The sequence below is a fragment of the Homo sapiens genome, chromosome 5, assembly GCF_000001405.40.
Source record: "Homo sapiens chromosome 5, GRCh38.p14 Primary Assembly".
Classification (NCBI taxonomy): Eukaryota; Metazoa; Chordata; class Mammalia; order Primates; family Hominidae; genus Homo; species Homo sapiens.
Genome location: NC_000005.10, coordinates 68,634,943 through 68,661,161, shown reverse-complemented (window position 1 = coordinate 68,661,161; position 26,219 = coordinate 68,634,943). Strand labels below are relative to the sequence as shown.

Genomic DNA, 26,219 nt, shown 5'->3' with positions numbered 1-26,219 from the left:
TTTTCACAGTCAAGGCTGAAAATTACTGCTGCGTTAGCTTCTCTTCAAGTGGAAGCATGGAGTTGAAGACAATAGAAGGAACTAGACCAAGATTAAATGCTGGGTTTTATGGGATTGCTATAGAGCCATGTAGGATCCGATGCAGGATCCGGGAAGTAGAAATGCAAGAAGAGAGTCAGAAAAAGAGATCTCCTAGGAGACTGTTAATTTACTAGCCTGGTTGGAAATACAACGCATGGAAACAGGTGAGGCAGACAGAGTCATCCAATTGCAGGGTCGGAACTTGGAAGGCCTGAGGCATGAAGGGAACAGGGTGGGGGTGCAGTCCTCACTATCGGGAGGGCTGAGGGCCACACCACAGTGCAGGACCGAGAGGCTGGGGCCAAAGGAGCTACTGGGTCCCAAGTTCTGTCCTGGAACAGTAATAAGCCGTCCTGCACCTGTCCTTGGCTCCAAGGCTAAACTGGAAAGCCCAGTTTCCCATCATGCCTTTCCAAGTGGTTGCAGTCACAGGAGGTCCTGTTATAAATCCAACTCCCAAGTTTCAGACATGGGAAACTGCAATGTAAGATGCGTCTTTAGAGCTCAACAAATGGACTTGCCTTGAGGGGCTGGTGAAGGTGACACCCATCCACCCGACTTCCTTGCCCTTCGTGGGAAGAGCAGTTCAAATGTTGGGCTCAGTGTGAGCAAAGCAAACAGCACAGGTTGAGAAAAGAAGTGAACTGTTGGGACTCAGGAACCCGTGTGTGTGTGTGTGTCTGTGTGCACGCCAAGTGGAGAGGGCAGCCTACAGTGGGCTTTGCAAGTTTGGAATTTATCCTGAGGACAATAGGAAGCCATGGAAGGGTATTAAGCTACAGAACAAAGTGATCAGAATTATGCTGAGTCTAGGAAGTGCTGTTGCTTGGCTGGTTAATTTGATCATATCAACAAGAGAATCAGTACGGGGTCAAATTGGTTGCATTCCTATTTGTTACTGAGACAAAAAAATACAGATTTTGAGGAATGTGATAGTGGCTAGTCCCCTAAGTCCAATGACTAGGTTGGCGTCTGTCATCCTCCCTTAAACAAAAATTCTTCACTTAACTCTAAGCAGGAAATGAAAACGTATGTTCTTGGGGTGACTTCATCTTTTGGAATTTTCTCATATATTTTTCCAAAATTCCAAAGCAATTGTTACAAAAAGGACACAAATATTAATGGCTTAAAAATTTGTCTGTAAATTTGCTTATTTTTCTGAAAAAAAAAAAAAAAAAAACAACAACAAAAACAAAACAAGGAAATTAAACTAGAAATGAATGAAATTGGTTATTTATAGGGATCAGTGAGAACCAAATGCAAGTCATAGGGAAGAAGATGGAATTTCTCTGGGGATCCCTTTTGATTTGGTTTTGTGTTTCAAAGTGTGTTAAAGGTTTACATTTCCAAAAAATAGAATTAAGAAATGGAAAAAAGATGAAAATTGAATTCAAGCAGAAAAAACCCAAAATTACATGAAATAGATAAAAATCACAGATTAGAAAAAGTACTCAAGTCACTTTCGAACAAAGTATGCTGATTGTACAACCCAACATAACATTTTCTAAGAATAAAAATGAAACGGTATGGAAATCTTGAACTCCACTTAATAAATTGTTGATAGTGTGTACTGCAGGACCAGGCAAATGGGTAAACATAACAAGGTTGTTGGGAACCTGGATTCTCACTGTGGAAAAAGAAAGGTACAAATGTGGACTGGGATATCATGGCCCCTGCCTGAATTAATTATCATTATGATGGTTACAAAATGACAATTTTCTATTTCTAAATTTCCTACTCATTTATTAGTTGGTATTCTTCTCTAAAGAGGAGTGTTCCATTCTTCTTCCCACCTTGATTTTTCAAAATATCAGAAAATATATTTGTTCCCTCTAATATGTTATAACCACTTCTGTCATTTGTCATTTTGATGTTTAAATTATCCCAGTTTTCCCAGTGGGAATCCTTTCAAGAAGAATCCTGTGTCTTCTTGACATATCTCCATCTTCCTAAGAAATAAATTTTTGAAATAAAAATAGGTTTATATTGATACCGCTAGGACCAATTCAACACCACAACACAAAACAAACAAATGAAAAAGCAAACATGTCAGCTAAACGCAATGTGAGATCTTTGATTAAACCCTGGAGGCGTGTGTGTGTGGGTGTGCGGGTGTGTGTGGGTGTGTGTATGTGTGTATGTATGTACTTAGATCAGCTGCATAAAACTATAGGGACAATTGAACTTAAAAAAGACCATATTAGAGAATAGTATTATATCAATGTGAAATTTCTGAAGTATGATATGAAAGGAGGAAAACCTTTTGTTGAGATACTCACCTAAGTATGTAGGAGGGAAGTATCCTGAAGCATGGGAAGCTAAAACAATGAATTCTCAAATGATTAAACAAAAAAAAGTGTGTATATGTATACAGAGAGATAAAGCATATTTGGGACAATAAAAATAATTAGTGAATGTAGGTGAGCAATATATGGGTGTTCATTTTACTGTTCTTGCAATTTTCTCCAAGTTAGAGTATTTTGAAAAGAAGTTGGAGGAGGGATGCTGGGTTGCATGAGAAAGACTGTGGAAGACAGGGCTGGGGCTGCACTATACACTTTTAACATCTGCAGGGCATCCTAGAGGGTTCAGAAGGACATGCCACATGGGAAGTTGGCTGGGGGCAAATAGCAGAAAACAGAGCATCTGGGGCAGCAGCTCACTCACAGTGATTTAGGGTCTGCAAGCCTTGGGATTTTAACAATGCAACTATTTGTTTTAAACACACATGTAACATCATTTCATTTTATATGCATACTTTACACATGCAACATTAGGGCCAAATTCCAGCTCCATCCCAGTCCCAATCACTTGATGAGAGGGACATTTATTGGCTTATCTGGCAGATGGGTTTTAGTCCAAAGCTTCTCTTCGTGAATGATTTCAATTCTTGCTCGTTAATCTTCCTGTGAAATCACAGTTAAAGGATTGTGGGTGAACACATCTAAGGTATCCAGTGATCAGCAGTACAGCTTATTTTCTGTCAAGTATGACTTTGTCATTTTTATCTGATACTTACCACACAGCCTCATGCAAAAACAGGTTTGCTTCACCACCACCCCTCCTTCCTGCTCCCCCTTTCCCAGGCCCAGATACAGATTTGTATTCTTGGCATCCTGCTCTTGTTTGATGAGTTTTAGGAGGCTCCAATTCTTGTTTTGTCCCCAGGAGTAAAGCAGCAACTGCTTTAAACTGATAACGACATGATTTTGCTGCCCTATAGACAGTCATTTAAACTCTGTGATATGTGGCCACTGCCTCAAAATTCAAGCAATGGAAATGACATCATTATCAGCCAACTCTTCATGATGAAAAATGACCCACATTAGGAAACAATCTGAACCCAAGGAAACTTTGGTGATCAATCATCACAATTATAACGTGCTGGCCTTTTATGTAAATCCAACCCACAGTGAAGCAGGATTTGGATGGGAGAGTTGGGGGAGGAGAAATCTAGTGGAAAAAGAACATTAGCACAATGTAATTAAGCAAAAGGGAAAGCTTCAGATAATATATGTTTCTCAGGGGACCCTGATAGACCTAAGCTGAAAGGATTGCATCATCATCATTAAAAGCATTTGTTAAATGCCCAGAGCTACAGAGAGATGGGCTGGGCTTTGTGCTGCTTGAAGTTAGTTGAAACAGGCCAAGCCCCTTCCACCAGGAACTTGAGCCCTCCAGGAGCTACCTGGTCGATGAGTAGTGGGCAGGGACATTCCCTCACTGCAGGGGAGCAATTATAACTGCCAGAGGGTGATGTTGCAGCTTTGGAGTGCCTGGCTTTCCCCATTCTACTTTAGTCCCTTCGGGTCATTTGTCCTTTTCAAGGCTGCATGGCCAGCCACATGCTCAAGCTGGTCTCAGTATGAGGTAGAAAGGAGTGGGACTGTCACCATCCATCTGCAAGAAGGCAGAGTGTTTTCAGAGAGCAGAGGAGTTGGGGACTTTGGTGATGAATCATGCCTTACCCGAGGGCATGTATGATTGCACCTGGCCAGCTTCACATGTCTGCATTTGATTCTTAGAGTTTGTGTTTTGTCTATTACCTTTTTCTCAGACCTGGAAAGGTGTGTGTGTGTGTGAATGTGTATGAAGAGTTGCAAGGAAGGTGAGGAAGGACAAAGGGATAACAGATGTGGCTATGTTGGTCCCAGAAAATTGTAGAGAATAAGGCATCTCCTGGTTGCCTATACCTTAGGAAATGTAAAAAGCACAGGGAAGTGAACACTCAGCTCAGCTCAGCCATCCCTTATCAAGGCCTCCAGAGGCTGCAGGTCCATCCCATGGCATGGTGGCTCTGGGCTAGTGAGTGCTCCAAGCAGGATCTCCACATGATGGCCTCCATCTGGCAACACTGGCTCCCCTTCAATCCTATTTTTTCTTAAAATCTTTGTAGTGTCATTTCTACTATGCTTGCTCTCGACTCTACCTATGAAACCTCTTATATATGCACTTCTTATCCTGAAATCGATGTCCAGATTATGAGGCCTTGGCCTACTTCCTCACCTCCTATTCAATACTCTCCTACATGATGCAAATAACCCTTTTCTATCTGCAGACCAATAAAACTGGAAATTTCCCTCTAGGAGTTTGCTCCTTGCATCTAAAGTTCCACCCTCCTATTGAACAACATATTAAGCTTTGTGTGGACTGGTTATTTGATCTCTTTCAGAGTAAAGAGAGGAGCATCCCAGAGAACAAGGCACTGCCCCACTAGGGCAGATAGGATGGGTCTCCAGGGAAAGGGGAAGACGGAGGACCCTAAAGGAAAAATAATATGGAACATGACTTCATGTTGACTCACTGTTCTAACTCTTCACACCAATCATGTCTTTTAATCCTTACACCAATTTTATGGGACTATATAGGAGCTTTATTCTTCCCTTTTGCAGAGGAGGAAGCTGAGATTCAGAGAGGTTAAGTGACTTTCTCATGATTACATAGTTGGTGGGCAGAGCTGGGATTCAAACCTTGGTAGTTCAACTTCTAATACGTGTCTTTCATCATTACACTACTCCAGAGAGGAGAAGCACCTGTTGGGGAGAACTTTGTCAAGAATCCTGGGAAGTAGGTTCTGATACTGCAATTACCCCTGCCCTGCCTCCAGCCCAGGGTACCTTTGTTGTCTCTGGTTGTATCACAGATGTGTGTCCCGGTGGTGGCAGGAGGCCATACCTATCTAGATGGAATGATGGGCCTGATGGCAGAGGCCTCACTTTGTTCAGGTGGAGTCAACTCAAGCAGCTGTGGGATCTTACCCTTGGCAGAAGCCAAGAACCCTCCTTGGGTCACTTTTGGACTTACAGTACTAGCAGCTTTCTAATCTGACCCATCGTGGCATTTTAAACACTGCCAGCAAATGCCCAACTGATTTATCCATGGCAATTAATGAAATCATATCTTGGGATCTGCAGACGTCGTTGGGCATGCATCAGTTGACCTCAGCTGTAGTCTGTGGCCACTACGGAGAGCACCATCGGTTCAGTTAGCTCGGTGAGCATGTGCTGCTGAGTCTTCTCTCACTGTGGTGAGGGGCCGGGGCAGGTTGCACTGTCTGCATGGGAAACACCCTCCTTCACTCTGGGCTAAAGAGGAGGGGAAACAATTTTTTGGAACATTTCCTAAAAAATAGGCAATCTCCTGTGTTCCTCAGAGTAGCTGATGTCCAATCAGCTCTGCCTGTGCTCCCCGCAGTCAAGAAGTTGGTTTCTTTGGATGTTTTGTGTGGCAGCCCTGGTTCATCCCAAACACCCACCTCCATCCCTATAGCTTCAGGCCTGGCTGGGGAAGGGCTATGTGGGACATGAAACGATCATCTCATAGCTATGGTTTAAATCATGCTTTATCTCATGAATAATCCATACGTGGTTACCAGGAGTCATTAATAGTTGTCAGTCTTCATTTTCTAGGTGGTGGGAATTGGGGAGGGTGAAAGAAACATCACTAGGTCTGTTGTCCTCTCCTCACCAGCACTACTCCTGTGACAAGATCAGGTCTTTCTTCCCCACCTAGCAAAGACAGGGGCCATGGGGATTCTCAGGAAATGTTGGGTTGGAAGGGGCAGAAATAAATCACTATAGCTGGGAGCATAGAGTCTGTGTAGAGGAAGTGATCTTCCTTCGTTCATAAAATCCCCATCCATTTGTACCTTTGGTGAGAATACTACTTTCTCCCTGAGGTCTATGGGCTGTATTATCATTAAAATTATCATGATATTTATATTAACTGGCTCACAAAGTACATCACCCATCAGGTCCAGTTTGCTTCTTAAAGCTGGAAGAGTGAAGAGTCCCCCTGAAATTCTTGGGCTCTGTTTCTTTCCATTAAGTTCTTTTGTATATGGTGTATATTCATGATCATATTTTAAACCAGATAATTTTTTCATGCCTCGTTTAACTTGTGTGTCTTTTCAGAGCCTATACCTTGGTCAGGTTTCTAATCAAAGCCAGATAGCATAGGTGAGTGTTGGGATGTGAGGGTAGTAGGGGTTTTGGTGACCAGTACTCAGTGGGTAGAAAAAGGTGAACAGTGTAGTGCTGGGAATGCTGGGGTCAGAAGATCTCGGATCAAGAAATAACTCAAACAGGTATTAGCTGAATGACCTTGGATTTGACTTAAAACTTTCTGAACATCAGCTTCTTATCTGTAAAGTGGAGATAATACTTACCTTGAAAGGTATTGGGAAGGCTCAAATAAGATAAGGTATGGGGAACGGCTTTGGGAACTATACAGTCTTACATATGTGAAAATTATGGCTTCTGATCTTAAGTGTGATCAAATAGTTCTTGAAAGAAAATGGTCTAAGTATGGGGCTTTGTTAAACAGATATTTCTTATTGATTTTTCTCCTAACAGGATTTAATGTATACTCTGTTGTTTTGTGTCTATTTTCTCAAGATATAGGCAAGTTAATAAAGCCTGTGCTTGGCATTGTGTTTGGCAGGGCCCTGCACCTTGCCAGGCCAATGTAGAAACGGGTCGGAGACCGAGCATAGGCAGTGTAACCCAAGAAGTGGGGGTGTGTCTTGGGAAGATGGTTCCTGCCTGATTGCCACGTTGGACCTCTGACCTGCCCCCCGTTGTCCACCTCTGCCAAGATTTTGAGCCACCTGATCTCTGTGGCCAGGTCTTTAGAGGTTTGAGGCTAGGGTCACATCTGTGGCCAGAGTCTGCAGGCCTATCAGAAAGAGAGGTGGTTTGACATTTGAGGAATTGTTCTGCTGTCTACCATGTAGTAAGTGTTGCTGATGGCAGGTGCTGACCCAAGCACTTTATGTGCATTACCCCATTAAATCTTCACAACAGTACTGCAAGGTAGGAGTTATTATCATCTCCATCTTACAGATAAGGAAACTGAGCTCAGAGAGTTTTAGGTCAATTGCTGAAGGTTGACAGTTAATAGAGTGCAGATCAGGAGTCCCATGTGGGTATGTGTGATCCCAAAGGTTGCTCTTATACCAGAATGCTGCTCCAGTGTCTTGCCCAGCTGGGACTTGACAGCAGCCAGAGCCTCAGATCAAACAGTGAGACCAAATGTGGCACTAGGGAGTATCCTCCTCTTGCTGAAGGGAAGAGAGGCAGAGGACTGGGACTGCATGTGACTTCCATCTTGTGGCACTGAGGTACAAGACCCGACATCAGTCATAAAATGAAACATGTCACAGGCCAACTCAACAGGGCTTAAATTGTATGGCTGTACATAGTCCATGTGTACCATGGGTACCTGTGCTTCAAAATCTCTTCTTTAAAGTTGTAACTGGCCATTTAAAACATTTCTTTTCCAAGTAGCTACCCCCATATTTTTTGGGTGGTTTAGAGTGGGAGTGGGGTGAGCTGAATATCATTACAACTCTTTCTTTTAACCTCTTTGATTCTGATTTCGTATTGTTCACTCATAACTTATAAGTTATTGTCTAAAAGGAAAGGAAAGGGATGAGAAAGGAAAGACAAAGAAAGAAGCAGAATGAGAGAAAGAGACAAAGAAAGAGAAAGAAAGAAAAAACGTCAGTTTTTTGTTTTTTTCAAGCAAGATAAGGAAAAGGAGAAAAAGAATGGGGAAAAGCCAAATGTGATCCAGGGTTGAGTAAAGTAGCATGAAACTGAGGACTTTAATGTCTGTTACACCCACCTGAAACCATCACATAAATCTCTACATTACATTCCGCTAAACATGTCAGAAATGCAACTGTGCTTGCAAATAATTGCTGCCATTGAATGAATCCGCCCTGGCACATCCATTTGGGCTCAAAATAACCCCTGTAACCTAAGAGTAAATCAGTGACTGGACACCCAGTGCCAAGCATAATCTCAAGCAACATTTAACTAGGTTCAATATTTATTTCCCTGCCTTGAGTCACTTTGAAATGATCTGGACTCAGTTCAGACAGGACCAGCCCTAATTTTATGGTGCTCTTGGAATCATTCCAGCAACATGAGGGCTCAGATGTCAGGGAGTTCCAGAAAAATGAGATCCCTCACAGAAGATTTCACAATTTAAGGCACCGTCCTTCCAACATTTTGCAATATGTGGGCTTTCTACTGAAGATGTAACTTTTTCAGAGGCTTTGAGGACCCTTAAGAAGTATGCCTCACCCACACTGAACTCCTACTTCATCCCTAGGGATGGGGTGGGCAATGTTAACCTGGTTAACAGCTTGCATAAATAAAATCTCTTAATATCTGCAAATAGGAAAAGACAGGCCCTCAATTTACCCCCATTTTTCAAGCAAATGACATTTCCCAAACAATTATGGAAGCCAGATTTGGGAAGCTTCAAGCCACATTCAAACAGCAGATAACACTCCTACAAGTTTGACAGACACAGGAACACATCAAACAAATAGCAGCCAATTCTCAAGCTTTTGTATCTCAAATGCTCAATCAATAGAAAATCAACCAGTTTTATTGTACACCAGAGATAAATCTGAAGATGGCAGGATTGACTTATAGCTCCCTGTTAAAGGGATATTGAGCTGACATTGAGTGACCTCACACTCAGCCGTAACATTTATCATAAAAGTCTGACATGGTTAAGTGAAGTGATTGATATTGGCCCATCTTGCTCTAAAATGTAGGCTTTCATCTGTTTTAGTTGGGAAAAGAGTAAAGGACCTCACTCATGGAATTAAACATCTTCCTTTTCTTTATTTTTCCTTAATCTATTAATGGTTATCCTTAATTCAGCATAATGGCAGAAATTCTAGAGTCTGTGAAACCTAGGTTCATATCCTAGGGTCATCACTTATCAGCTGTTGAGCAAAATTTTAAGCTCCTCTAAGGGAAAGTTTCCTTATCTGTAGAATTGGGAGAACTGAGTGAGATAATGTAGTTGAAGCAATCATTAAAGTACCTAGGCACACACTTAAGAAATGTTAATCATATTATTATTATAATAATAATCATTATTATAATTTATTTTGACTCCTGACTTCATTATTCTGTCACCCATTATGCTATTAGCACAGTAATAATACCAATAACAACAATACCTATTATAGATACCTTTTGTTGATACCTACTAGGTACCAGACACTGTGCTGAATGCTTTAGATATGTTCTCTCATTTAATCACCACAAAAACCTTTGAAGTTGGTGCTATTATTATACCAGTTGTTAGAAATAAGAAAATTGAGGCTCAGAGACATAAAATTGCTTAAGATCACACAGTTGGCCAGGATCCAAACACACTACATTACACTGGTCTCCCAATCCCAAGTCACATAGATTATCACTTTTTGTCCTATTACACCCTTACGCCCTTAGAGGAACAGAAAACTCTAAAATTTGGGGAAAGTCACTTTATCTCTCTGGACCTCGGGCTTTTCGTCTGTCAATTGAAAAAGTTGGAGTGGATTACATAAGACGTTTTAGGACTCCAGGATTGTAGTGGAATCAGTTGTTCTCAAGAAAGACAAGCTTAGAAATGTGTAAATAGGATTTTATACGTGTTTGAAATGGAGATTGTGTACAGGTATGGCTTGTTCTGCATGGTCACTTTGTGCAGGCAGGCTGGAAGGAGGAAGGTTGCTGTACTTTTTATAATGGCTTAATTCTTTCTTCCCAAGCTATCATAACTCTGCTATGGAGGAAGCAGTCCACTTACCCCAACATGCTTGTTTTCAGTATACATGGTTGTAATAAATTAGCACAATCTTTAATTTGGATAAGTCTTCACTTCCTGCTCCCAAATCTTGATTCTTCTGAGATACTTAACAATAATTCCTTCTTCCCAAATCCTAAAATTAAATTCTCCTGCCATTCTGGAAATAATGTTGTGATTAAAAATCTATTTACATTTGGTCCTCACACTTCAGTGTTGACATAAAATAAAACCACTGATCACTGTTGTAGCGTTAGGATGTTTAAAATATTTCACATCCTGTCCACAAGGTAAGCAGTTTCCAGATATAGTCTGTTTTGAGGCTTGGCTTCCAGGGTGGAGATGGTGGGCAAAGTGAGGAAGAAGTGGCTGGTGAATGGAAGGGTCTAGAGGGGATAGAAGGGATTCTGAACCTCTCCTTTTGGCTAGAACCAAGCCCAGGTCATTTCCTGACCCCCTGCTGCTGGGGTCCGGTGGCAAGACATAGACACAGTGCCCTGACTCTGGGCTCTCATTTCCACCTCTTGAACACAGCTCTCTGCTGTGTTCTGGTCCTGGCTTCCTGACTTGCGATTTATCTTGGTAGTATGACATGCAGAAATATTATGTATGCTGGGTTGGCTCTTCAAAAGTGACCAAGACATTGCCACATTTTGACCTTCTGTTCTATTTGGGTTGAGGCTAAAGAAAAAGTGAGAGAAAAAAATCATCTGCCTTCAGTTTCTAGGACTAGTAGCTTTATGTTGTGCTTATACAGACATTAACCTGTCAGGAGTATTACTGAGTCCTACCAATAATTTCAATAAACTGTAAATTATTGGGGAAAATTAGTATTAGTTAACCTAATTAACTCTAAGGATACTAATCAATTATATGGCTGAATTAGAAAAAAAAAAAAAATCAAGGCCAGGCACAGTGGCTCCTGCCTGTAATCCCAGCACTTTGGGAGGCCAAGGAGGGTGGATCACCTGAGGTCAGGAGTTTGAGACCAGCCTGATCAACATGGCAAAACCCCATCTCTACTAAAAATATAAAATTTAGCTGGGCATGGTGGCACATGCCTATAAGTTCAGCTACTTGGGAGGCTGAAGCAGGAGAATTGCTTGAACCCAGTAGGCAGAGGTTGCAGTGAGCTGAGATCACACCATTGCACTCCCGCCTGGGCGGCAAGAGTGAAACGCCATCTCAAAAAAAAAAAAAAAAAGAAAAAAAATTAAATATGTTTGCTTTAATTAGCTTACATGTGTAGACATAGACCAAGTCAGGGCTCAGCAGATGCACAGGGAGTGCAGTGACCTTCTCGTGTCTTCTGTTTACTTGAGAACTATAAACAGAAACTCTGACTAGATGAGGCATTTTAGGGATGGGAGAGAGGTGGGAGTTGGTGGTGTGTTTTATGGACTATTCTTTCAACATCACTTATCAGAAACCAAGAAAATTCATAGTTTTCTGAACGTCATTAGCCTTGGCTTTGATGATTTGCAGGTAACCATTAAAAGTCAGTAGAAAGTCATTCATTGCTGGCTTTTTCCATGGAGTGTTGTTAAGCAAGATTTGTTGTCCTTTAAATATTATTTACCAAAATGTGACACAGCTTTTCAGTGAAAACGTACAGGGGACATTAAAATGTCTATTTTTTTTCTGAGGCCTGCTTAAACTTTGCAGTTCAAGCCCTGTCAGAGATATTACCAAACCTGTTTTTCAGGGATTTGAAATTTGCTCATAAAAATTAACTTCAGGCTTTTATGCAAGTTAAAAGCAGAATTCATGTGGTTCTTTTAAAATCTTGTAAGTCTTTGAAAGAAGGACTAATAAAAATATACCTTGTTAGATGGCTTTTCCTGTGGCTGCACAGCCTGTTTGTTTAAGAACACGTTGCAGCTTGGCAGCTCACCTTACCCCGCCTCAATCCCAAAAGCACAAAGTATTTCTGGTTTTATTGAGAGCCATCAATGGAAAATGTCAGCTGTTCCTTTTTTTTTTTCCCTCTCCTGAAAATTGAATTAGTTGCCCAGGAAAAGTATAAGAGAGCTCCAATGTACAGGGCCTGAATTCCTGTGCTGGTGTCTAAGGCATGGACATCTTACTATGTGTTCAAGAAACAGCTCACACTGTTCTTTGGGCCACAGCACGGAGCACCAACCTCATCCTTCCAGGCTTTGGAGGCCAGACCTACCACAAGGCCCAGTCCTGTTTCTTTTAGGCCCCAGCCACAATGAAACCATGTACTTCCGAGGTCATGTATCACCTACCTATCCAGGGTCAGCCTTTCCCCCATGGGAAGCTGCGAAAATACCCATGTGGCTGTGGGCTTCTTCACTCATCCTCAAGACAAGAAGAAACCTGTGTCACACCCTGCCCGAGGACAGCTTTGTTTGCCTCTGCTAAGTACAACCTATTCTTGTGCTTTTGTCTTATCTTAGAGTGATGTCACAAAGCCTTACCCTGGCCTCATGATGGGAAGGTACCAAGATGAGTGCTTTGGTGGAAGGAGAACTATATTATAAAAGATACAAAGATTCATTCATTTTGTTCATGTACTCATTCATTTAAACATATAGTGAACATGTACTATGTACAAGGCACAATTCTAAGAGCTAAAGTTATGAGCTGAAAGATGCAAGCTTTGTCCTAATGGACCTGGAGCCTACAGATGAAGAAAAGCATACAATTATAGTACAGTGTGTGTGTGTGTGTGTGTGTGTGAGTTAGTCAGGAGGAGTGTGATAGGGTGTTGTGCATCAGAGGAGAGGCATCTAGCACAGGGTGGGAAGGAGTGTATGGAAGGCTCATGGGTGAAGTTGAGAAACAGATACAAATGAGGGTCCTGGTGGGGTAAGTACAATTAACAATTCATTTGTAAGATAAAGGTTCTGATGACTGTAATTTAGTCCCAGAGGTTAGAGCCTTTCGGGATATAGCTTGGGATGCTTCCTTTCTAGCTGTTTCTTTGAGGAAAGTGCCATTTTATTCCCTAACACCCAGTGTGGTCTCTTTAGGACTTTGTCCCATTTATGACCAAAGTCCGAAAGATTAGATTACAACTTTGCTAAGCTCAAATGCCCATCCCCACCTCCTATTATTTCTCTTATAGGACTGACCTCGTAACTGCTGCTTGGCTGGGTCACAGATGTCTGATGTGATGAAAGATCTTAGTGGAGATGTCACTCAGGAAAGTGACCCTATTCATTACCTGTGCCTGCTATAGTGCTTTAACTGTGCCATAGTTATGGTTTTTGTGGAATAGGAATTAACTAGTGTGTCATATCAGAAGGACTCCTTCTCCCAAAGTCAAGAGCCCAAATGATGCTGCTTTCTAGATCAAGCTAGGCTTCTTTACTCTGAAAGATAGACCTCTACCACTGTCTGTGACAGACAAGGACTTAGCAACTAGCAGATGTCACACTTGTGTGCTTTTCTCAGGGAGGCAGCTCAGGTCTTCTCCAGTTTTGTAGCTTTATTTCTGATTTTAACAGGCTTTGGCCTCTTGCCTCTGAGCCCCTTAAAAGTTAGATGCAACAAGCAAAGAAAGGGTAAAGGATGAGGGTGTTGGCTTCTAGAGGTGGCCAGGAGAGACAGCAGATAGTGTGACAAGAGGAAAAGAGGAAGAGGAGACCTGTGAGAGGTAGAGACACAAGAATTTAAAAAGAAAGAAAACTCTGGCCAAGTGGGCTGGGGATGGAGATTCTGTGAGAACCTTGGGTTTTTTCCCTCTACAGTGAGTCTTGGACTCTGTTCCCCTGGCATTTGTACAGTTAAGAAAATGTGTTAAGTATTTTCCTAATTTTGAATTGGCATGGAAATTATGGTAATTTTGAATTTACATGGAAATTGTGATAAGAAAGTATTTTTCTCAAGTCACTTTATAAGTCATTACAAAAGTGTTGCTCCCCTTGATGAGAATAGAGGTAGAACCTTACTCTTTTAAGCGCTCTCTTCTTAAAGGAAAGTAGCATGGCTCCATGGATAAGCAGCAGATTGCATATCTGGAACCTGTTTCTGTATGTTTCTGGCCTTATTTTCTCTGACCCTGAATGTAATTCTCCCCTCCCTTTCTTTTTTCTTTAAAATGGGGCTTGTTACCTCGACAGAACTTGCGGAGTGATATACTTTTGCAATAGAGGTGTGTATACAGAGAACTTTTTAGAAACATATGGTACGTATTTACATGAGGTTTGGGAAAGGAAGCTTATGCCATCATGTGAACCTCAGATAATATCTAGCATGTAATTTGAGAATCAATGAATTCGCAGTCTTCGTCATGCAGCTGAGGAGACTGAGGCACAGTAAGATGAAGTAACATGGCTGAGGTTATATGAAGGGCAAAGCTGGAATTGATGTGAACCCCCTTGGATCCTGAGATGCTGTTTTTTCCATTAGACTGTGACACTCACATTAAATTTGTGTGCCATTTGAACCAGTTGACCCACTCTTTAATTTTTATACGTCTTCTAAGTTTTACTTATTACATATTGGAACACTTCTCTTGACACTGCATTTGAAATTATTTTATGGCTAAAGCTTTGAAGGTTTATAATGCAGTGGCCTCCTAATAGCAGGTCAATCAGAAAGACTTTCATTTGGCACTGGTTCTCAATGATGTAACTAAGCTATTTAAAGCTTGGCAAGGAAGCCCAGTAAAACCCTGAAGTTCTTTCCATCCTGGAGCTGATTGGCTGAAGTGATCTTGGATCCTCAGAGAAGCTTCAGGAACAATGATTGCCACAGCCACACTGCTTTTGTGGCAAGGATGCTGCACCTCTTGGGATTTCTCTGATACTCTATCTGTGCCAGGCTTCACATGGCCTTGCCTATTACTGAGGGGTTAAGGGGATCACAGTGAACCGGAGTAAGATGGTTTATTGGCTATTCAGGGACCCTTTTCACACGCGACCACTACACTGCTCCCCTCCTCCATGCACCACTGTCTGGTGTGATTGTTCTTATAAAGACCTTTGAGAGTTTCGAAGAAAGATGCATGTCTATTCATGCTATATCCAGTCACAAATATTAGGCACCTACTAAATGCTTGATCCCATGCTTGACAAAATGGGCAGTAAACACACATCTAATAAGTAGCCCCATTCACTAGAGGCATAAATTCTGTTGTGAACATGAGGCACAAGCACATAAAATGAAATATAAAATATACAAAAAGGATGCAGTGCAAGTATATTGTGAGGTAGCCCAAAAAATGAAATATGGACCATGGGGAAGGACACAGGCTTTACCAGTGATGGACCTGGGTTCAAATCCCATCCTGCCACTTACTAACCACGTAACCACGGTTTCCTCAAATGTAACATAGGTTGGGATAGCTGTGAAGATTAAATAAGGGACTACGTAAACTACTTAGCATAGCACCTGACATGTAGTGAGTACTTGATACGTAAATAACTAAAATATTGTTGTTATTATAATTATAGAGATTATAAGTGCTGCAAGAATTCAGAGAAAGGAGAGCGCAGTGTGGGCTGAAATGAGAGAAAATGGCCTATAAACTGGGAAGAGGTAGGTCCTTGAAAAATGAGTTCGAATCAGACTAGGATGGGTTTAGAAGAAGGGCTCTCAGGTAGTCCCAGACAAACAGGAGAGCAAAGGCCTGGAGGCAGCAATGAAAATGGGCTTCCAGGAGAATGTCATTGTCAGGGCTTGTATGGGGAGCATGGGAGAAGAGGTGCAACCCGATTTTGGCCAGTGGCAGAGCCTTCACCCACTTCCTCTTCCGAATGGCCCTCACTAGTACCAGTCCCTTGTCTCCATTCATAGCCCAGCAGGAGGAGAGCTGTGCTGTGGGTTTTTGAAAACTTTGCATAATCACTTCTGCCATAGTTTAGCAGGTGAGAGCCTGAAGAGAACTTCCTGGTCCACAGTGGGTAAGCTCATGACTCATACCGAGAATCTTTTTAAAATTTATTTTATTGTCATTGTTGTTGTTGGGGAAAGTGGGGACATCAGTTGTGTTCACTGAGAAGTAAGAACTGGCAGGTAAAAAAGGACCATGGAAATAAAACAGTACCTGTCATTTTCTCATGGGATTGCCCCCTCTCCTTCCAAAGGCCTTTGTAAAGTCCCAGTCATTTACTACCTTGGCAATCTTATGACATTCTTAACACCAGAAAATTACCCCCCTTGCCCCACCCCCAAAGGAGCTCAATGAATGTTGCTTAGACTATTTGTTAGAGTATTTTCAGTGTGACTTCTATAACAATTGTCTGTTTTCTGGTAGTTCTTACTAATTACATATGATGGTAAGATTCCCCTGCCCACAGCAAAACCAAAAGGCATTAGCTGTCTCCATTACCTTTCACACACTTAGCTGAATGGGAAGAAGGCTGCTACAGCCAAATTGCTATTTTGAAAGAATGATTATGTGTGTTGTGGGAATTTTTTGAAGTGTGTTTCTTGATAGCCTCGCTAAGAAGAGAAGCAATAGTACATTTCCCACCCAAAGAGGTATGGAAAGCTCATTGCAAATGAGTTTCTGAAGTTAGGAGTTAGCAGTAGCTGGTACATGGGCCTTCTAGCTAGCGCTTTACTTAAAATAGGGTAATGGAAATAGCTTAGTTCCTAACATCCACTCTCAGCAGACCCTCCTTCTTTTATTTTAAAAAGAAATTAATGTAGCCTTTGGAATTGTCATTATGGTTCATTAAGTTACAAGGAAGCAGCCTGTGAGATCCATGGATCACAAACTCATTATAAACTAACTACAAACTGGAGAGACCAAGTTATTTGGTGCAAAAATATTGTTTCAGCCCTCTCTCCAACTACTCCCAAACACCTGCCCTCTCACCTGATGATCCATGGGTGCAAACAGAGGTAACAGAATGTTGTTTACCTACTGATCTCTTAGGGTGAGGCAGAGCTGACCAAGAAGAGTGTGTATGGGGGATTGTTTCGATTTTAAATTTGTTTGTAAATTGGTATTATTTAATTTATCTTTCCTATTTTTAAACTGGTTGTTTCCTTTGCAGCATTGCCGTCAGGCACCACAAAGAATATTTTCTAAAAAGTAAGATGTTAAATAGCAACAGTGATTCAGCTTATTGTTGTTTTAAGTAAATAAACGGGGTCCTCAATTTTTCCTATGAAGAGAGGGTAATGAAAATAAATGGCTCCCAAATTTGAGGTCTATTTGAGAGGTGTGGAGATTCTATATTATTATTAAAAAGACCAGTGCCTTAATCTAATATGTTTCTTAGTGACTCAACCCAAACCAATCCCAAACAAGTCAGCAGAACTGTGATTGGAAAAGAGGCTGCTCCTCTGTTATGAATGAGTTAATATTGATTGTGCTATGGAGGGGGTGGGGGAGTGTGGATGTGGGGACTCTGCTTAGAGCAAAAACAATAGGAAAACCTCTAGGGAGAGACTCCAAGAGGAAACACTACAGTCCTGAATCACTACATTCCCCAAGAAGTAAAAAGAAGGGTCTTTTCTCTCATGTGTGAGGTAGAGGTCGCTTCAAGTCTCTCAGAGGTAGCAGCTGCTATGGCAGATAGGGATCCCATCTATGAAAGGATTTGTGGTGAAAGAAATCCTAAGGCTAGGCCCATGAGAGGGTAAAAAAACAAAACAAAACAAAACAAAAATTTTAGAATTCAGCTATCTCTTGCATAAAATAAGTTAGGCTTTTGATTTTAATTTTCCCCTTTTTAGCTCCCTCTCTTTGAATCACTAGTACCTGAGAAAACAAATACTTGCTAGTGCCATAGTCCTCTTTGGGTAAATATGAAGAATGATTCCTAGGTTTAAGCCTACCCTGTAAGCTCTATTTTTCTCAAAATCTTATGTCAAGAATATTGGTCAGCTCCCCAACTTCTCACGTCCTGTTGTTGATTAACCACAATCTCCATGGTCTTCACTCTCCCCTTCCCCCTTTTTTTGTTTACTTTTATGTTTTGCTTTATGCCCCCCAACTTTTTTTCTCTTGATTTTTATTTTCTGTTCCTGTGTTGCAGCAAGCCTCAAGTTATTTCTCCCATTTTGTCTCTAGCTTTTAGCAATTTCTTACTCATCAGAGCATATCAACACCTAAGATTAACGTTTAGATCCCACATCTCTAGGTTAATGTGTTTATAGCAAAACATACAGGTATAAATAACATCCTGCTGTAATTAGGCAAGGTGACTATGCTTTGCAATTACAAAAAGAGAGTGGATCTCCTCCTACAGAGGCAATGACCTATTGAAAGCTCATCGTGAGTATTAACTGGTACAACATTTTTGGAAAACAATTAGACAATATTTATCACGTTGGAAAATATATGTATCTGTTGACTAAGCAATTCCAACGTTAGGAATTTATCTTATTGATATAAACCTGCAATATACAAAGATATACACATATATTTCATTGAGCATTGTTTGAATGAGAATAAAAATTAGAACAACTTAAGTATCTTACAAAATAGTACTAAATAAGTAAAATATGAAACATCCATACAATGTAATATTACATACCAGTTAAAGTGAAATAGATCTACTTAGGATGATATGGAAATGCACATTACAGATTACATGAATCAAAAAAGTTCAGAATGAAAATGAAAACAAAATCAAAATTTGTGGGATGTAGCAAAAGTGATGCCTAGAGGGAAATTTATAGCATAAATGCATCTATTATAATAGAAGAAGAGATCTAAAATCAATAATCAAAGCTTTCACCATAGGAAACTAGAAAAAGAAGACCAAATTAAGCCCAAAGTAGAAAAAAGGAATAAAAAAATTAGTGCAGAAATTAATTAAAAGTGGGAAATTAATAGAATCAGCAAAACCAAAAGCTATTTGAAAAGATTAATAAAGATTAATAAAATTATTAAGCCTCTAGTCAAACTAATTACAAAAAAAGAGAACACAAAATATTAATATCAGAAATAAAAAAGGGACATCACCACAAATCCCATGAACACTAAAAAGATTGTAAAGGCATAATATGAACAATTCTATGGCCACAAATTTAATAACCTAGATGAAATGAATGAATCCCTTGGAAAACCTTATCTGCCAAACCCACACAAGAAGAAGTAGACACTCTGAATAGTCCTATATCTCTTAAAGAAATTGAATCAATAATTAATAACTTTCCAAAACAGAAAATGCCAGGCCCAGATATGTTCACTGGTAAATTCTACCAATATTTAAGAAAGAAATTATACCAGTTACCTATAATTTATTTCAAAAGATAAGAGGAGAGGGAATATTTTCTAGCTCATTCTTTGAGGCCAGCATTACTCTAATACCAAAACCAAACAAAGACAAGAAAAGAAAACTACAGACCGGTATCTGTCATGAACATAGATCAAAAATTCTCAACAAAATATTAGCAAATTGTATCCAACAATGTATAGAAAGAATTATACACCACAATGAAGTAGAATTTATCCCAGGTGTGCAAGGCTAGTTCAACATTTGAGAATCAGTTAATGTAATCCATTACATCAACAGGCTAAAGAAGAAAAATCACATGATTATATCAATATGGACAGAAAAAGCATCTGACAAAATCTAACACCTATTCATAATGAAAAACTCAGTAAACTAGAATAGAGGGGAACTTCCTCAACTTGATTTAAAAATGTCTACAAAAACCCTACAGCTAACATCATACTTCAAGTTTCTTCAAGTTAGAAACTTGAAACTTTCTTACCAAGATCAGGAACAAGACAAAGATATCCCCTCTCAGCGCTGCTTTTCAACATTGTGCTGAAAGTCCTGGCTAATATAAGACAAGAAAGGAAATAAAAGGTGTACAAATGGAGACGGCGGAAAAAAAAAACAAACCTGCCTTTGTTCTCAGATGACATGATTGTGTAGAAAATCTAAGAGAATTGACCAAAAAAAAGTCAGTCACTTTTCTATATATCAGCAATAAATAGAATTTGAAATTAAAAACATATTACCATTTACATTAGCATACCTCAAAATGAAATACTTAGGTATATATGTAACAAAACATGTACAAGATCTATATGAGGGAAATGACAAAACTCTGATGAAATAAACCAAAGGGCAACTAAATAAATGGAGGGATATTCTGTGTTCATGGATAGGAAGACTCAACTGATCTATAGATTCAGTGTGATCTCAATAAAAATCCCAGCAAATTATTTTTGTGGATATTGACAAACTGATCTTAAAGTTTATATGAGACACAAAAGATCCAGAATAATCAGCACAATATTGAAGGAGAAGAACAAAGTCGGAGGATAGTCACTACTTGACTTCTTATCATACTATAAAGCTACAGTCAATAATCAAGACAGAAATGGTGCTGGAACAACTGGATGTCCAAATGCAAAACAGTAAATAAATCTAGACACAGACCTTATACCCTTTATGAAAATTAACTAAAAATGGATTGCAAACCTACACGTAAACCTATAAACATTTAGAAGATAGTACAGGAAAAAATCTAGACAACCTTGGGTTTGGAAAAATTTTTTAGTTGCAACACCAAAGGTACAGTTCATGAAAGGAAGAATTAATAAGCTGAACATCATTAAAATAAAAAATTTCTGCTACGTGAAAGACACTGTTGAGAGACTAAGAAAGTAGCTAAAGATTGGGATAAATTATTTGTGGAAGACATTATCTGATAAAGAACTATTATCCAAAATATACAAAGATCCCTTAAAACTCAACAATAAGAAAACAAACAACCTGATTTTTTAAAAAATGGGCCAAAGACTTTGACACCCCACCAGTGGAGACATAAAGATGGAAAATAAGCATATGAAAAAATTCTCCACATCATATGTCATCATGGAAATGCCTATTAAAATGACAGTGAGCTACCACTACAGATTTATTAGAATAGTCAAAATCTAGAACATTGACAAAAACAAATGCTGGAGAGGATGTAGAGCAACAGGAACACTCGCTCTTTGCTGATGGGAATGCAAAAATCCAATTTAGAAGACAGTTTGGCAATTTCTTACACAACTAAACATACTCTTACCATAAAATCCACAGCTTGTGCTGCTTAGTATTTGCCCAAAGGAGTTGAAAACTTATGTCCACACAAAAACCAGCACACAAATAATTATAGCAGCTTTATTCATAATTACCAAAACTTGGAAGCAACCAAGATGTCCTTCAGTAGGTGACTGGATAAACTTAGTGCATCCAGACACTGGAATATTATTCTGTGCTAAAAAGAAATGAGTTATCAAGCCACAAAATAACATGGAGGAGACTTAAATGTGTGTTACTACGTGAAAGAAGTCAATCTGAAAAGGCTACACACCTTATGATTTCAGGATATGACATCCTGAAAAAGACAAAACTATGGAGATTGTTAAAAGATCAGTAGTGCCAGGGACTAGAGGGAAGGGAGGACTGAATAGGTGCAGCACAGAGGATTTTTATGGTAAAGTACTCTATGATATTATGATGGTAGAATCATGGACAAATTATTCATTTGTCCCAAACCATAGAATGTACAACGCCAAGAGCCTAATGTAAATTATGGACTCTGGATATAATGATATGTCATTACCATATACTGATGTGTCAATATCAGAAGGTACACAGCTTTGTCTATTACCCAACTGTGAGGGATGTTGGTAATGGACAAAGCTAGGTACCTTCTGCTCAGTTTTACTGTGAACCTAAAACTGCTCCAAAACTTAAAGTCTCTTAAAAAAAAGTTCTGTGCACAGAAAATGATTTCACTTAAATCAAAAAGAAATGGCATGGTATTATACTATAACGCAAAAGGCAAAATAAATATATATATGAGTCCATACTGATATAAATAAATGGTTGAAAAATAGAGAAAAAAGAAATGAAAATATTTTTCCCTTTAGAAGAATTTCAAATAATTTATGTAGATGCTACCCCCTCCAGGAGATGGAACTTAATTAATTTCCTCCATCGTGAGTGTGGGCTAGAGTTAGTGACCTGCTTCTAAAGAATGGAGAATGGAAAAAGAAAAACTCGTAACTCTAATGTCATTGTGAGATAAACACCATACAAACCCAAATTGAGAGACATTCTACAAAATACCTGACCAATATTCCTCAAAACTCAGTCAGAGCCCACCTTTCCTACCCCCTCTCAAAATGCTACTAAGAATGTAATGTTCAAATAAAAAAATTTGTTCTGGAGTCAAGAATTTTTTAGAATGTGTATTAGAAGACAGGGATATACACTTGCCTTGTGATTTAATTTAGGAATGTTTTGCTCAAAGCGGAGTTGGAAGGAAAGGAATAAAATTGATGACGTCTCACATGTGGAATAATTCTTTATATGTTAATGGAGATAAAGTTGAATGTAGAAAATTATCTTGCTGTCTGGCTAAAATCAGTAAATTGTGTACTTGGTTCTGAAGCATAAGGTTTGAAAAGTTCATAGAGGCTATTTTCTCAAACATAGACTTTTGTGGAGATTTGTCAAGGTTTTTTCATAAATCTGCTTTTTGTTTTGTTTTTGTTTTATAGCTTGGACTGCTTATATGCTTCTTGGCTTCCTTATAGGATTTAAAGTGCATTTCTGGTAACTGGGTCTTCTTTTTTTTTTATTCTGACAATTTCTGTTTGGTCTAAAAACAATTAATGAAATTACCAATATGGTTGGATTTAGGTCTACTGTTTTATTATTATTTTTTGTTATTTTTCTGCTTTTCCTTTTTTCTCCTCTAGGATTGCTTTCTAAAAATGTCTATTGTAGGCTGTGTGTGGTGGCTCACACCTGTAATCCCAGCAGTTTGGGAGGCCAAGGCAGGAGGATTCTTGAGGCCAGGAGTTGAGACCAGCCTGGGCAATAAAGCAAAACCCTGCCTCCACAGAAAATAAAATAATTAGCCTGGCATGGTGGTGCATGCCTGTAGTCCCAGCTACTCGCAGGGCTGAGGCAGGAGAATTACTTGAGCCCGGGAGTTTGAGGCTGCAGTGAGCCATGATTATTGCCACTGCACTGAAACCTGGGTGACAGAGCAAGACCCTGTTTCTCAAAAAAAAAAAAAAAAAGAAAAGAAAAAAAACCCCAAAATGTCTATTGTATTTTCAGATACACCTTTGTGTATTATTTTTAATGGTTATTTTAGGGGTTTCAGCTGTATGAGTCCATCCTACCTCTGCCCTTTGTGCTATAGTTATTACATGTAGTATGCTAACATACATTATGAATTCCATGAGACAATGTTATGCTTTTTTGTAAATAGCCTTATGAATTTAAAAGAAATAAAGATGAAAACGTCTTTTCTGTTTACCGTGATATTTACCATTTTTGATGTTTTACATTCTTTTCTATACATTTGTGTTTCCATTTGGTATTGTTTCCTTCTAGCCTGCAGAATTTCCTTCAGCTTTTCTTATAGTGCAGATAACTAATCATAAATTCTTTTAGTTTTATTTTATATGAAAATGGTCTTTATTTTGCCTCATTCTTGAAAGATCTTTTCACTGCCTATTGAATTCAGGTGTAACAGATTTTTATTTGTTCTGTTTTCAGTTCTTTAAAAGATATTGTTCCACTGTCTTCTGGCTTCCAAAATTTTAAATGAGAAGTCAGTATTTTTAAACCATCGTTCTCCTGTGTGTAATGTGTGGTTTTATCTGACCGCTTTCAAGATTTTTTTCCTTATCTTTGTTTTTTAGCAGTTTAACTATGATGAAACTACATAACAGTTTTCCTGTTTGGAGTTCATTAAGCTTCTTGGATCTGTAAATTTAAGTCTCTCACCAAATCTGGAAACCTTTAGCCATTATACCTTTAAATATTTTTTAATGGTCACTCTCAACCCTCCTCTTCTCTCCTCCTGACACTCCTATGACACATATGTTAGATCTTTAGTTATTGCTCCATAGGTCCATTAGCTCAAGAGGATCTGTTCTATTTTCTTCAATCTTTTCCCTCTGTCTTTCAGATTGATCATTTCCATTTACCTGTCTTTAAGCTTACTGACTCTTCTATATTTTCCATTCTACTATAAAGCACATTGAGTGAGTTTTAACTTTCAGATATGTTGATTTTCAGTGGTAAAATTTCAATTTAATTCTTTTTTTTATAGTTTCCGTTTCTCAGTAGAGGTTTATTATCTTTGAATTCATTGTAAGAATATGTTTCTTATTTTACTGGGGATAGTTTCTTCATATGGTAATACATTTCATATTATACTCTGGATATTGTGAATGATTGGTTGTAGGTATTCTGATTTGTATTACTTCCCTCTGAAGACTATTGATGTTTTATTTCGACAGGCAATTACCTTTGTAGCTCAAACTGCATATTATACTCTGTCTCTTTTGTTGTTGTTGTTAAAATAGAGACAGGGTCTCACTATACTGCTCAGGCTGATCTCAAACTCCTGAGCTCAAGTGATCCTCCTGCCTCAGCCTCCCAAAGTGCTGAGATAACAGGTGTGAGCCACTGCACCTGGCCAGTTTAGCTTTTCTTGTTGTTTGTTTCTTTCTTCTTTGCTGAGGTGCTTTGAGTCTACCAAATACACATGTGATTCAGGGGTGATCCAGATACTTAGGAAAATATATGTAGAAAATTTGGGGCTTCTCCTCACTAGCTCATTTTTTGGGGGTTTTCCTGCCATTTTCCAGTAGCTATGGTTGCCCCAAATTCTGACCTTTGGTTCTTTAGTCTAGAAAGACTTGGTTTTTCTATTAGAGTTTTAGTTACTCTGTGTGGCACTGACTTTGACCTGCCTTTCAGCAGAAGACATAAATACTCTTACCTGCACCAATCCCTTCTATCAAATCTCAGCTTCCTTTCAGAATTTTCCTGCTTGAGTTTACTCCCTAGCACTTTTGGATATTTGATTTTTGTTTGTATAATTTGTCCATGCTTTGTAGTTGTTATCTGTTGGATGCTAGAGTCTGGTAGAAACTTTCTTGATTATACTAGAAGTGAAAAAATGGTTTAAAATATAATCAGTTTCTTCTCTTCTGAAATGGAAAAAGTGTGATCTGACCATTTCCCATGGGAGTTAAATAATTTGGGGCTAAGAATATATTTGGAAAAAATACAAACTCAATTAAGCTCCACAATGAGTTTCACTTGTAAATATCACCACTATGTAAACAGGCTAAAAAACATAAAATATATTTTTAAAAACCCCTTCAGATATAATTCTACTTCAAACTCATTAACAATTAAAGAGGGGCCTCATCTTAATTCTGTGATGTAACATTTAAGAATAGGAGACAAAAAATTTGTCCGAGGCTCCTGAAAATAGGTACTAGCCCCAGAGATGTTCTCTAAGGCTTTAAGTGGGTCTTCCAGAAACCCTAAACCCCCAAAACATATTTTAGATAAAGTTTTCAAATAGTGGTCATAGATTGAGAAGAGGGAAAGTAATATTAATGTACACGATATCCAATGTTGGCAGTGGGAAATGGTTATGTATGGAGATATGTCCCAAATAAGTATCATGGAAAGAATATTAGAGCCACTGGTGTAAACTTCTATATGAAGAGAAACTATGAGAGGAAAAGTTATTATATGTAATTAAGAAGTTCTGTGTGGGGTTAGTTCTGCATGCGTGCCTTCTGAATCAGACGTGGGAGGAGGAACATTTTTAAGAGGACTGAAAGCTGAGTTCCTTGATCTTTTCTGAAATGTGGAAATTTCAGGGCCCACTTTCTGTCTCCTATCTGTTTTTATGGCTGGTTGCCCCGTAGGACAGGCATCTGAGAAACTCAAAGGAAGGAAAAGTGCACAGAGATGAGGGTCAGGTCCAGACCTGGACCCACAGCTCAAATGCAATTCATTAATCTTTGACAGGTATGAAACTGAGTTGCTGGTGATGTGTGAAACTAAGTTATTGCAGCTTGAATGTCTTTGGAGCCAGTGATCTGGGAGAAGGAAAATTAGATGTGGATGCATTCATGAACTAGACCAAGCTGGTTTCCTGGTTTGAGCATCTCTGCTGATGGTGTACTTGGTGCTGGTGGGTATATAGCAATCTGTGAAAATGTCTTTCAAAGACTCCAGGAGAGCTCTGTGTTCTGTTCCTAGAGGAGTCCCCAGCCAAGCAAACTTGGGGGATCTGGAGTTTTATTGGGAACCAGGGACTTGCCATGG

At 39.3% G+C, this 26,219-nt stretch overlaps 2 long non-coding RNA genes across 3 annotated transcripts in view, besides 1 other annotated feature; one reads left to right on the top strand and one right to left on the bottom strand.

Annotated features, from left to right (window-relative positions):
• Positions 1-26,219, top strand: part of LOC105379013 (uncharacterized) — a 406,546-nt gene that overhangs the window by 171,696 nt on the left and 208,631 nt on the right. The gene's annotated exons all lie outside the window — the stretch shown is intronic.
• LOC105379010 (uncharacterized) lies at positions 1,946-10,259 on the bottom strand. Its single transcript, XR_007058808.1, has 3 exons — positions 10,183-10,259; positions 2,840-2,987; positions 1,946-2,030 (listed from the first exon to the last, which is right to left on the bottom strand). It is a non-coding gene; the product is annotated as an uncharacterized LOC105379010 (long non-coding RNA).
• Positions 15,698-15,757: an enhancer, noted in NCBI's record as "active region_22636". NCBI's record gives its function as "activates an Ori minimal core promoter by ATAC-STARR-seq in GM12878 lymphoblastoid cells {active_cell/tissue: GM12878}" and the evidence as "EXISTENCE:reporter gene assay evidence [ECO:0000049][PMID:35858748]".